The 12,784-nt window shown below is 43.4% G+C and overlaps 1 protein-coding gene and 1 long non-coding RNA gene across 7 annotated transcripts in view, besides 1 other annotated feature; one reads left to right on the forward strand and one right to left on the reverse strand.

The window, feature by feature from the left end:
- Window positions 1–12,784, forward strand: part of KAZN (kazrin, periplakin interacting protein) — a 1,225,220-nt gene that overhangs the window by 462,487 nt on the left and 749,949 nt on the right. The gene's annotated exons all lie outside the window — the stretch shown is intronic.
- KAZN-AS1 (KAZN antisense RNA 1) overlaps window positions 1–12,784 on the reverse strand; it is a 71,019-nt gene that overhangs the window by 6,356 nt on the left and 51,879 nt on the right. The window lies entirely within an intron of this gene.
- Window positions 7,150–7,350: a silencer, noted in NCBI's record as "peak78 fragment used in MPRA reporter construct". NCBI's record gives its function as "represses an SCP1 promoter by STARR-seq MPRAs in K562 erythroleukemia cells {active_cell/tissue: K562}" and the evidence as "EXISTENCE:reporter gene assay evidence [ECO:0000049][PMID:32103011]".

The raw sequence follows: 12,784 nt of genomic DNA on the forward strand, positions 1-12,784 counted from the left end.
CTATATGCAATTATACCTGAATAACACAGTAATCACACAAATAAATACAAAATTATAACATTACTGGTTTTTGTTGTTGAACAATCTACATATTTATTTATTTATTTATTTATTTATTTATTTATTTATATTATACTTTAAGTTCTGAGATACATGTGCAGAACGTGCAGGTTTGTTACATAAGTATACATGTCCCATGGTGGTTTGCTGCAACCATCAACCCGTCATTGATCTACATTAGGTATTTCTCCTAATGCTGTCCATCCCCTAATCTCCCAACCCCCAACAGGCCCTGGTGTGTGATGTTTCCCTCCCTGCGTCCATGTGTTCTCCTTGTTCAACTCGCACTTATGAGTGAGAACATGCGGTGTTTGGTTTTCTGTTCTTGTGTTAGTTTGCTGAGAATGATGGTTTCCAGCCTCATCCATGTCCCTGCAAATGACATGAACTCATCCTTTTTTATAGCTGCATAGTATTCCATGGTGTATATGTGCCACATTTTCTTTATCCAGTCTATCATTGATGGGCATTTGGGTTGGCTCCAAGTCTTTGCTATTGTGAAGAGTGTTGCAATAAACATATGTATGCATGTGTCTTTATAGTAGAATGACTTATAATACTTTGGGTATATACCCAGTAATGGGATTGCTGGGTCAAATGGTATTTCTGGTTCTAGATCCTTGAGGAATGCCACACTGTCTTCCACAATGGTTGAACTAATTTACACTCCCACCAATGGTGTAAAAGTGTTCCTATTTCTCCACATCCTCTCCAGCATCTGTTGTTTCCTGACTTTTTAATGATTGCCATTCTAGCTGGTGTGAGATGGTATCTCACTGTGGTTTTGTTTGCATTTCTCTCATGACCAGTGATGACGAGCTTTTTTTCATGTGTTTGTTGGCCTCATAAATGTCTTCTTTTGAGAAGTGTCTGTTCATATCCTTTGCCCACTTTTTGATGGGGTTGTTTTTCTCTTGTAAATTTGTTTGAGTTCCTTGTAGATTCTGGATATTAGCCCTTTGTCAGATTGATAGGTTGTAAAAATTTTCTTTCATTCTGTAGGCTGCCTGTTCACTCTGATGATAGTTTCTTTTACTGTGCAGAAGCTCTTTAGTTTAATTAGATCCCATTTGTCAATTTTGGCTTTTGTTGCCATTGCTTTTGGTGTTTTAGTCATGAAGTTTTTGCCCATGCCTAGGTCCTGAATGGGATTGCCTAGATTTTCTTCTAGGGTTTTTATGGTTTTAGGTCTGACATTTAAGTCTTTAATCCATCTTGAGTTATTTTTTGTATAAGGTGTAAGGAAGGGGTCCAGTTTCAGTTTTCTGCATATGGCTAGCCAGTTTTCCCAACACCATTTATTAAATAGGGAATCCTTTCCCCATTGCTTGTTTTTGTCAGGTTTGTCAAAGATCAGATGGTTGTGGATGTGTGGCGTTATTTCTGAGTCCTCTGTTCTGTTCCATTGGTCTATATATCTGTTTGGGTACTGGTACCATGCTGTTTTGGTTACTGTAGCCTTGTAGTATAGTTTGAAGTCAGGTAGCAGGATACCTCCAGCTTTGTTCTTTTTGCTTAGGATTGTCTTGACTATACGGGCTCTTTTTTGGTTCCATATGAAATTTAGAGTAGTTTTTTCTAATTCTGTGAAGAAAGTCAATGGTGGCTTGATAGGGATAGCATTGAATCTATAAATTACTTTGGGCAGTATGGCCATTTTCACGATATTGATTCTTCCTATCCATGAGCATGGAATGTTTTTCCATTTGTTTGTGCCCTCTCATTTCCTTGAGCAGTGGTTTGTAGTTCTCCTTGAAGAAGTCCTTCACATCCCTTGTAAGTTGGATTTCTAGGTATTTTATTCTTTGTAGCAACTGTGAATAGGAGTTCACTCATGATTTGGCTCTCTGTTTGTCTGTTATTGGTGTATAGGAATGCTTGTGATTTTTGCATATTGATTTTGTATCCTGAGACTTTGCTGAAGTTGCTTATCAGCTTAAGGAGATTTTGGGCTGAGATGATAGTGTTTTCTAAATACACAATCATGTCATCTGCAAACAGAGACAATTTGACTTCCTCTCTTCCTATTGGAATACCCTTTATTTCTTTCTCTTACCTGATTGCCCTGGCCAGAACTTCCAATACTATGTTGAATAAAAGTGGTGAGAGACGGCATCCTTGTCTTGTGCCGGTTTTCAAAGGGAATGCTTCCAGCTTTTGCCCATTCAGTATGATATTGGCTGTGGGTTTGTCACAAATAGCTCTTATTATTTTGAGATATGTTCCATCAATACCTAGTTTATTGAGAGTTTTTAGCACGAAGCGGTGTTGAATTTTATCAAAGGCCATTTCTGCATCTATTGAGATAATCATGTGGTTTTTGTCATTGGTTCTGTTTATGTGACGGATTACATTTATTGATTTGTGTATGTTGAACCAGCCTTGCATCCCAGGGATAAAGCCACCTTGATCATGGTGGATAAGTTTTTTGATGTGCTGCTGGATTCGGTTTGCCAGTATTTTATTGAGGATTTTTGCACTGATGTTCACCAGGGATATTAGCCTGAAACTTTCTTTTTCAGTTGTGTCTCTGCCAGGTTTCAATATTGGGATGAAGCTGGCCTCATTAAATTAGTTAGGGAGAAGTCCCTCTTTTACTATTGTTTGGAATAGTTTCAGAAGGAATGGTACCAACTCCTCTTTGTACCTCTGGTAGAATTCAGCTGTGAATCCATCTGCTCCTGGGCTTTTTTTGGTTGGTAGGCTATTACTGCCTCAATTTCAGTGCTTGTTATTGGTCTATTCAGGGATTCAACTTGTTCCTAGTTTAGTCTTGGGAGGGTGTATGTGTCCAGGAATTTACCCATTTCTTCTAGAGTTTCTAGTTTATTTCCATAGAGGTGTTTATAGCATTCTCTGATGGTAGTTTGTATTTCTGTGGGATCAGTGGTGATACCCCCTGTTTCATTTCTTATTGTGTCTATTTGATTCTTCTCTCTTTTCTTCTTTATTAGTCTGGCTAGAGGTCTATCTATTTTGTAAATCTTTTAAAAAAAAAAACCAGCTCAGGGATTCATTGAGTTTTTAAATGGTTTTTCGTGTCTCTATCTCCTTCAGTTCTGCTCTGATTTTAGTTATTTCTTGTATTTTGCTAGCTTTTGAATTTGTTTGCTTTTGCTTCTCTAGTCCTTTTAATTGTGATGTTAGGGTGTCGATTTTAGATCTTTCCTTCTTTCTCTTGTGGGCATTTAGTGCTATAAATTTCCCTTTAAACATTGCTTTAGCTGTGTCCCAGAGATTCTGGTACATTGTGTCTTTGTTCTCATTGGTTTCAAATAACTTATTTATTTCTGCCTTAATTTTGTTATTTACCCAGTAGTCATTCAGGAGTAGGTTGTTCAGTTTCCATGTAGTTGTGAAGTTCTGAGTGAGTTTCTTAATCCTGAGTTCTAATTTGATAGCATCGTGGTCTGAGAGACTGTTTGTTATGATTTCTGTTCTTTTGCATTTACTGAGGAGTGTTTTACTTCCAATTATGTGGTCAATTTTAGAATAAGTGCTATGTGGTGCTGAGAAAAAAATGTAGATTCTTTTGATTTGGGGTGGAGAGTTCTGTAGATGTGTATTAGGTCTGCTTGGTCCAGAGCTGAGTTCAAGTCCTGGATATCCTTGTTAATTTTCTGTCTCATTGATCTAATATTGACAGTGGGGTGTTAAAGTCTCCCACTATTATTGTGTGGGAGTCTAAGTCTCTTTGTAGGTCTCTAAGAACTTGCTTTATGAATCTGGGTGCTCCTGTATTGGGTGCATATATATTTAGGATAGTTAGCTCTTCTTGTTGAATTGATCTCTTTACCAATATCTAACGTCCTTCTTCGTCTTTATCTTTGTTGGTTTAAAGTCTGTTTTATCAGAGACTAGGATTACAAGCCCTGCTTTTTTTTTCTTTTTTTTTCCTTCTCCTTTCCATTTGCTTGGTAAATATTCCTCCATCCCTTTATTTTGAGCCTATGTGTGTCTTTGCACATGAGATGGGTCTCCTGAATACAGCACACTGATGGGTCTTGACTCTTTATCCAACTTGCCAGTCTGTGTCTTTTAATTGAGGCATTTAGCCCATTTACATTTAAGGTTAATATTGTTATGTGTGAATTTGATTCTGTCATTATGACACTAGCTGGTTATTTTGCCCATTAGTTGATGCAGTTTCTTCCTAGCATCAATGGTCTTTACAATTTGGCACGTTTTTGCAGTGGCTGGTACTGGTTTTTCCTTTCCATATTTAGTGAGTCCTTCAGGAGCTCTTGAAAGGCAGGCCTAGTGGTGACAAAATCTCTCAGCATTTGCTTGTCTGTAAAGGATTTTATTTCTCCTTCACTTATGAAGCGTCGTTTGGCTGGATATGAAATTCTGGGTTGAAATATCTTTTCTTTAAGAATGTTGAATATTGGCCCTCACTCTCTTCTGGCTTGTAGGGTTTCTGCAGAGAGATCCACTGTTAGTCTGATGGGCTTCCCTTTGTGGGTAACCTGATCTTTCTCTCTGGCTGCACTTAACATTTTTTCCTTCATTTCAACCTTGGTGAATCTGATGATTATATGTCTTGTGGTTGCTCTTCTCAAGGAGTATCTTTGTGGTGGTATCTGTATTTCCTGAATTTGGATGTTGGCCTGTCTTGCTAGGTTGGGGAAGTTCTCCTGGATAATATTCTGAAGAGTGGAGCTTTCCAACTTGGTTCCATTCTCCCCTTCACTTTCAGGTACACCAATCAAACATAGGTTTGGTCTTTTCACATAATCCCATATTTCTTGGAGGCTTTGTTCATTCCTTTTCATTCTTTTTTCTCTAGTCTTGTCTTCAAACTTTATTTCATTAAGTTTATTTTCAATCTCTGATATCCTTTCTTCCACTTGATCAATTCAGCTATTGATACTTGTGTATGATTCTCGAAGTACTTGTGCTGTGTTTTTCAGCTCCATCAGGTCATTTACATTCTTCTATAAACTAGTTATTGTAGTTAGAAATTCCTCTAATCTTTTTTCAAGGTTTTTAGCTTCCTTGCATTGGGTTAGAACATGCTTCTTTAGCTTGGAGGAGTTTGTTATTACACACATTCTAAAGCCTACTTCTGTCAATTCATCAAACTCATTCTCCATCCGGTTTTGTTCCATTGGTGGTGAGGAGCTGTGATCCTTTGGAGGAGAAGAGGCATTCTGGTTTTTGGAATTTTCAGCCTTTTTGTGCATTTTTTTTTAATCTTCGTGGATTTATCTCCCTTTGGTCTTTGATGCTGCTGACCTTCGGAAGGAGTTTTTGTGTGGATGTCCTTTTTCTTTGGTGTTATGCTATTCCTGTTTGTTAATTTTCCTTCTAACTGTCAGGCCACTCTGCTGCAGGTCTGCTGGAGTTTGTTGGAGGTTCACTCCAGACCCTCTTTGCCTGGCTATCACCAGCCAGGCTGCAGAACAGCAAAGATTGCTGTCTGTTCCTTCCTCTGGAAGCTTCGTCCCAGAGGGGCACCTGCCAGATGCCACCTGGAGCTCTCCTGTACGAGGTGCCTGTCAACCCCTGCTGGGATGTATCTCCCAGTCAGGATGCACGGGGGTCAGGGACCCACTTGAGGAGGCAGTCTGTCCCTTAGCAGAGCTCAAGCACTGTGCTAGGAGATCGGCTGCTCTCTTCAGAGCCAGCAGGCAGGAATGTTTAAGTCTGCTGAAGCTGCACAGCTGCCCCTTGCCCCAGGTGCTCTGTCCCACGGAGATGGGAGTTTTATCTATAGGCCCGACTGGGGCTGCTGCCTTTCTTTCAGAGATGCTCCGCCCAGAGAGGAGGAATCTGGAAAAGCAGTCTGGCTACAGCAGCTTTGCCAAGCTGCGGTGTACTCTGCCCAGTCTGAACTTCCTGGCAGCTTTGTTTACACTGTGAGGGGAAAACCGCCTACTCAAGCCTCAGTAATGGCAGACGCCTCTCCCCACACCAACCTCTAGCATCCCAGGTCAACCTCAGACTGCTGTGCTGGCAGTGAGAATTTCAAGCCAGTGGATCTTAGCTTGCTGGGCTCTGTGGTGGTGGGACCTGCTGAGCACTTGGGTGGGAACCAAGACCACTTGGCTCCCTGGCTTCAGCCCCCTCTTCCAGAGGAGTGAACAGTTCTGTCTCACTGGCGTTCCAGGTGCCACTAGGGTATGAAAAAAACTGCAGCTAGCTCAGTGTCTGCCCAAATGGCTGCCCAGTTTTGTGCTTGAAACCCAGGGCCCTGGTGGTGTAGGCACCCGAGAGAATCTCCTGGTCTGTGGGTTGTGAAGACCATGGGAAAAGCATAATATCTGGGCCAGAGTGCACCATGCCTCACGGCACAGTCCCTCACGGCTCCCTTGGCTTCTGTTCATCCTCTGTGGGCTGCACCCACTGTCTGACCAGTCCCAATAAGATGAGCCAGGTACCTCAGTTGGAAATGCAGAAATCACCCACCTTCTGGATTGATCTCACTGGGAGCTGCAGACCAGAGTTGTTCCTATTCGGCCATCTTGAGTCATTTACCCGTGATTACTGTTTTCAGTGAGGAAGACCCACTGCCATAAGAGCACCTCGTAGGGTGAAGAAAGGCTTTTTTGAGGAAGAGACTATTGGCCTGAGATCCTCATAATGAGAAGGAAAAGTTAAGGCAAATATGGGAACAAGGAAAGGTCCTGTAGCCAGGGGGTCAATGGCACATTTCAGAAACTGCCCAAAAGCCAGTGTATTAGTTAGCTATTGCTGCATGACAATATTACCATAAACTTACTGACTTATAACAACTCACATTTATTATTCCACCGTCTCTGTGGGTCTGCTGTCCAGGCACTCTTCAAGGCAGCATTCAAGATGTCAACTTGGGCTGGGGTCTCATCTGAAGGCTTGATTGGGAAAGGACTCACTTCTAAGTTAACATAGTTGTTAGCAGCATTCAGTTTCTTGCATGTTCTTGGACAAAAGGCCTCAGTTGCTGGCTGTTGACGAGAGTCTGTCCTCAGTTTTTGTGATACGGCCTTCTTCATAAGCAACTCACAGTGTGGCAACTTGCTTTTTCAAAGCCAATAAGAGAGAGACTCTTAGCCTGACAAACATTGCAATCTTATGTGACACAATCATGGAAGTAACATTTCAACACCTTCACTATATTTTGTTAGTAGCAAGCCACAGGTCCTGCCTATGCTCAAAGGCAGGGGATCAGACATGAGGATGAATGCCAGGAGGTAGGAATCACAGGGCTGCTTAAGAGACTGTCTCACTGCCAGAGCAGCTAGAAGGCTAAGATACTCTGGCCCTATTACACACAGGCATTGCTCCAGGCTCTTTATAAAGACTGTGTAGCTTAATTCCCCCATCAACACTTTAAGATCAGAATTAGTATCCCTATTTCTTAGGTGAGGAAACCAAGCTTCTAAGAGGCTACATCATATTTGCCAAAGTTCCCACAGCAAGAAAATAGCAAATCTAGGATTCAAACTCAGACCTATTTGACTCCAAGGGGTATATTCTTTCTCATTCACTACCCTGCCAATATATATATTTGTCTCTATTTCATCCTTTGGAGTGATTTTACATATAGAGAAACTGAGGCAGGAAGGGGGCTCAGCCTCCATGAGGTCCCCCAATGGCATGATGGCAAAGGCAGCACAGAACTTTGGATCCTGTCTCCTAGCCCATGCTGTATCTCACCTCATTTCTCCTCCTATGAAGAAGCAGCTGCCTTAAATATAGACCTTCAAGAACTGGCTCTCTGGCTCTAGAAGGCTCCAGAGCTTCACTCCAGGGAGCCATGGTTGCATTTTTTAAACGAAATCCAATTCAGTGCCCATAAAAGTCCTCATCATCTTGCTAAGGTTGGCAGTTGGGGACTCTGAAATAGCTGAAATCTCTATAAACTACTCCTGGAAGGCATCCACTTTAGCCTGGTAGACAGAAAATCATCTGCAAAATGTCAAGATGATGTTTAAACATCTCCGTCTCCCACCTCACAGTCGGAAGGATGTTCTAAGGGCCTAGTAGGTGCAGCCAGCCCAGACGGAGTGTAGCTAGGCTCACACCCACCCACCCTCTGGCCGTGACTCATTTTCCCTCTAATCAAGGAAACACAACCCCAAACAATGGGCTGCTCAGACTTCATAGTTTCTCATTTGTTACATGGGAGGAACACAGAAGTAATGAACAGAATTTTGGTTTTCTGTTCCTGGATTTCTGAAACAGGTTTTCTCAGCACTGTCTTAGTGAAAAATAATACATCAAAAGTTACCTTCCATTCATGTTTCCAACTCTGTCCCTTTAGAGGGGTCAGGAAACTTTAACCTATGGGCCAAATCCAGCCAGCAGCTGGGTTTTTTATGATCTTAAAGCAAAAGATGGCTTTAACATTTTTAAAGGGTTGTAGAAAGAAAGAACAAGAGACAGTGACCATATGTGTCCTGCAAAGCCAAAAATACTTCCTGGTCCTTTACAGAAGAAGTTTGTTACCCCCTGCTCTAGATATTAGTAGTGTCCTACAAAAAAGGGTTTCTACGGTCAAATAATTTGGGGAACCACTGGATTAAACACCATAAACGGTTGTGTATTTTGCGTGTATGTGTGTATGTATTTTTTGGTAAATGCATGCCTTATCAGAGCCTTTACTCACAATATTTTTTTTTTTTTTTTTAATTTGGAAGAGAGAGATATAGCAGGTAATGTTTCTTACAATGTTTCTTACTTTTCTTTTGCCTCAGTACCGTTTTCATGTGGGATGTGGTTTAGGAACTGCGTTGTGTTAAGGCCCTTTTCATTAGAGATGTGTTGTTGACAGGATCATGGAGGTCATGCCCCCGGCACTAACTGGTTGCACATGTACCTTTTGGGTCCTTCTGCCGCTGATGCATCAGAGCTGGAAAGCATGCAGTTAAGAGTAAGGGCTCAGGAGCCAGAGTCACTGGGTTAAAACTCCCTCTACCTGCCACTTGTGGAACTAAGGGGAACACGATTTACTAATCTATGCCTCAGTTTCTTCCACTGCAAAATGGGGGTAATTATAGCCGCTGCCTCCTAGAGCCACTACAACGATCGAATGGGATAATGTTTGTGAAGCATGCAGCATGAGCACTGGCACACACAATACATTTCTGAACAAATGTTCACTACTGTTATTATTCATCTCTAAAATGGGAATAATGATGCTGGCCTAATAGAGTTATTTAGCATAACAGTATATAGGAAAGGGATCCATAAAGAGGAAACAGCAAATTTCCCTAGAAAAACATGACCACCATCATTCTAAGAAAAAAAATTTTATTTGCCTAAGGGATATATATTTATTTCCTGGGGCTGCTATAATAATGTACCACAAACTGGGTGACTTAAAACAACAGAAATTCATTCTCTCTGAGTTCTGGAGGCCAGAAGGTGAAAGACAAGTTGTCGTCAGGGACATGCTTCATCTGAAGCTTCTAGGGAAGAATTGTTCCTTGTCTCTTTCAGCTCCTGGTGTTCCTTGGCTTGTGGCCGCATCACGTCAATCTCTGCCTCTGTCTTGCATGGCATTCTCCCTGTGTGTGTCTTCACTTCATCCTTCCTCTGTTTTTTTGTTTTGTTTTGTTTGTTTGTTTTAGAGAGAGGTTCTGACTATGTTGGCCAGGATGGTCTTGAACTCCTGGCCTTAAGTGATCTTCCCACCTTGACGTCCCAAAGTGCTGGAATTGTAGGCATGAGCCACCATGCCCGGCCCCCTCTCTTTTTTTTTTTTGTGACGGAGTCTCACTCTGTTGCCCAGACTGGAGTGCAGTGGCACCATCTCGGCTCACTGCAAACTCCGCCTCCCGGGTTCAAGCCATTCTCCCGCCTCAGCCTCCCGAGTAGCTGGTACTACAAGTGCCCGCCACCATGCCTGGCTAATTTTGTTTTTGTATTTTTAGTAGAGACGGGTTTTCACCATGTTAGCCAGGATGGTCTCAATCTCCTGACCTCATGATCCGCCCGCCTCGGCCTCCTAAAGTGCTGGGATTACAGGTGTGAGCCACCGCGCCCCGGCGCCCACCCCCTCCCCCCGGGGTGGGGGGGGGGGGGGTCTTTCAAGGTCACCAGCTGTGTTGGATTAAGGGCCCACCCTACTCCAGCATGACCTCATCTTAATTAATTACATCTGCAATGATTCTATTTCCAAATAACGTCATACACTGAGACCCTGGGGGTTAAAACGTCAACATTATCTTTTTGGGTAATGCAATTCAACTCATAACTGCAAAGTTTTGCAACCTCGGCACTACTGAAATTTGTGGCAGGTAATTCCTTGTGGTGGGGACTGTCCTGTGCATTGCAGGATGTTTAGCAGCGTCCCCAGCCTCTACTCACTAGATGCCAGGAGCACCTTTCCCCAGTCATAACAATCACAAACGTCTTCAGACATTACCAAATATCCCTTGAGGAGCCAAATTGCCTCAGTTAAGAACCTCCGGGTTAAAAAATAATACTTTCTAGACTAACTCAAAACAAAAAGACTTCCTCCAGTGGGACTGCAGAAGTGGCTAATACAGCAGTTAGGTCATAAAGTGTAGATAGATATTCCTCTTATGGCATATTGCTAATAATAACGACTCAAAATTTCGCCTTGCCCAGCAGATCTTTCTGATGAGATAGATTTCCCTACCTGGAGGCCACAGTTATTATTGTTAGTTCATACACGAGTCATAGCCTAAAATGTAAATTGCTTGGAAATACAGCAAATCTGGTGACATAATAAAAAGGAAAATCGATTTCTCCAGAAATACACATCTGTTCATTAAAGCTGTCTGGTAGTCCATTGCAGCTGTTCCCATTTAAAAACTAAAGATCTAAACATAATCCTTTACAGTGGAAAGTTAGCAGAGAAGATATTCATAAAAGTCTGTGGAAATGGTTTGGCAGTTAAGTGTGGTTTATTTTTGTCTATGGCTCTTATGGAACCCTCTGAACGTACAAATGAAAACTGAAATGTCGTAGCTCATCTTCATTGAAGCTGTTGGCTATTCAGGGTGACCAGTTCAAATCTTGCTGGGACAGTGCAAGGGGTGACAAGTTTCCCGGGCAATTAAATGGTCAGTCTTTCTCTGTATATAGGAAACTTGGAAGATTTTCAAGAAAAGTATCATAGCTGTGAAGCAGGATATCTTTCCTAAGCCCTTCACTGGCGGGAACTGGAGGGCGGGCACTGGAGCTAGCCAGCTGCTTCGGCGCCAGCAGGGGCAGACTCCATTCACTCAAACTTGCTGCACTTAACCCCTTGTGGGAGGGAACACACAAGTGTGAGCGGGTGCAGGAGCCGTGGGCGAGCACTTTTGTGTGCCAGCGGGAAGAAACGCCGCACCAGCATTTAGAGGGGTGCCCACCATCAATGAAGCCCCAGAAGGCATGTGTTACAGTGCTCTTTGAGCTCTGCCATCCACGGATGGCTTAAGTGTTAACAGCTCAGTAGACTCTCTGCCTTTTCACATGAGGTGGCTGCTTTCCACCAGCAAGGGCAGATGGTCAGTGTGACAGCCTTTTGCATCTGCACCCCTGGTACCCAAGCTCTTGTTCAGCATCCAGGAAAAATCAGGTCTCACAAACGAATGGAAGGGCAGTGAATGCAGAGGATCTTATTGCCAATGAAAATGGCTAGCCGGGCACAGTGGCTCATGCCTGTAATCCCAGCACTCTGGGAGGCCGAGGCAGGCAGATCACGAGGTCAGGAGTTCAAGACTAGCCTGGCCAACATGGTGAAACCCTGTCTCTACTAAAATACAAAAATTAGCGAGGCGTGGTGGCACGCGCCTGTAATCCCAGCTACTTGGGAGGCTGAGGCAGGAGAACTGCTTGAACACAGGAGGCGGAGGTTGCAGTGAACTAAGATCACACCACTGCACTCCAGCCGAGGTGACAGAGCAAGACTCTTGTCTCCAAAAAAAGAAAAAGGCTCTCAGCGGGAAAGGAAGCTGGAAGGGAGATGGAGCGAGAAGGTATTCTTCCCCTGAAGTCCGGCTACCTGCAGCCAGACTCTTCTCTGAGGTCGCACTGTCAAGCTGTCCCTCTGAAGGCAAGCTACTTCTCTCCAATGTCCAACTGTAGCCTCCAACGTCCAGCTGCTTCTCCTCTTCTCTCTGATGGAGCCTGGGGTTTTTATGGGGACAGGATGGGGGGCGGGCTGGGCCATGGGTGGTTTTGGAAAAGGCAACATTTGAGCAGGAAAATAGGGGTGTAAGTTCTCACTTTGGACCATGGTCCCAGGCTTGAGGGTGGAGCCCTTGCCTCCAGCCTACTGGTCACCCTTGTCGTTTCTCTGGCCATCGGACTGCAGAGCCTGGGCTGAATCAGTAACCATGTCAACATCACCCCACCCCTTCTCTTCTTGGCTGCCATGCCTACCAATCAAAAGCTGAGCCCTAGACCAGCTTAGTGCAAACACAATGTTGTCCAGCGGTGTTGCGTGATTTGATGGCAGGAGGCAAGCAGGGGAGTCCAGGGAGACTCCTGCCCCCTAAACATGCACACTCACCTGTGCTTCCATTTTCAATGTAGTCCCTAAGTGCTGCCTTCTCTCAGATCCTTGGAGACTTTTCAGTTTGATTGTATCTGAACCTTGACCCCTTTATATCTTTCAAAATGAACCAGGCTACGTAAAAATGTAAGAAGCCTGAAAGGAGAAAGTGGGATAGCGAGAGCTTGAAATCTAAGTTCACATCTTGGTTTCACCCCCAAGCTAGGGTTTCCTTACTTGCGAACGTGGGGTTTGCCAACCAGGTCTACTGTGAAGATCTGCCTGATG

This window comes from Homo sapiens, chromosome 1, assembly GCF_000001405.40.
Source record: "Homo sapiens chromosome 1, GRCh38.p14 Primary Assembly".
Classification (NCBI taxonomy): Eukaryota; Metazoa; Chordata; class Mammalia; order Primates; family Hominidae; genus Homo; species Homo sapiens.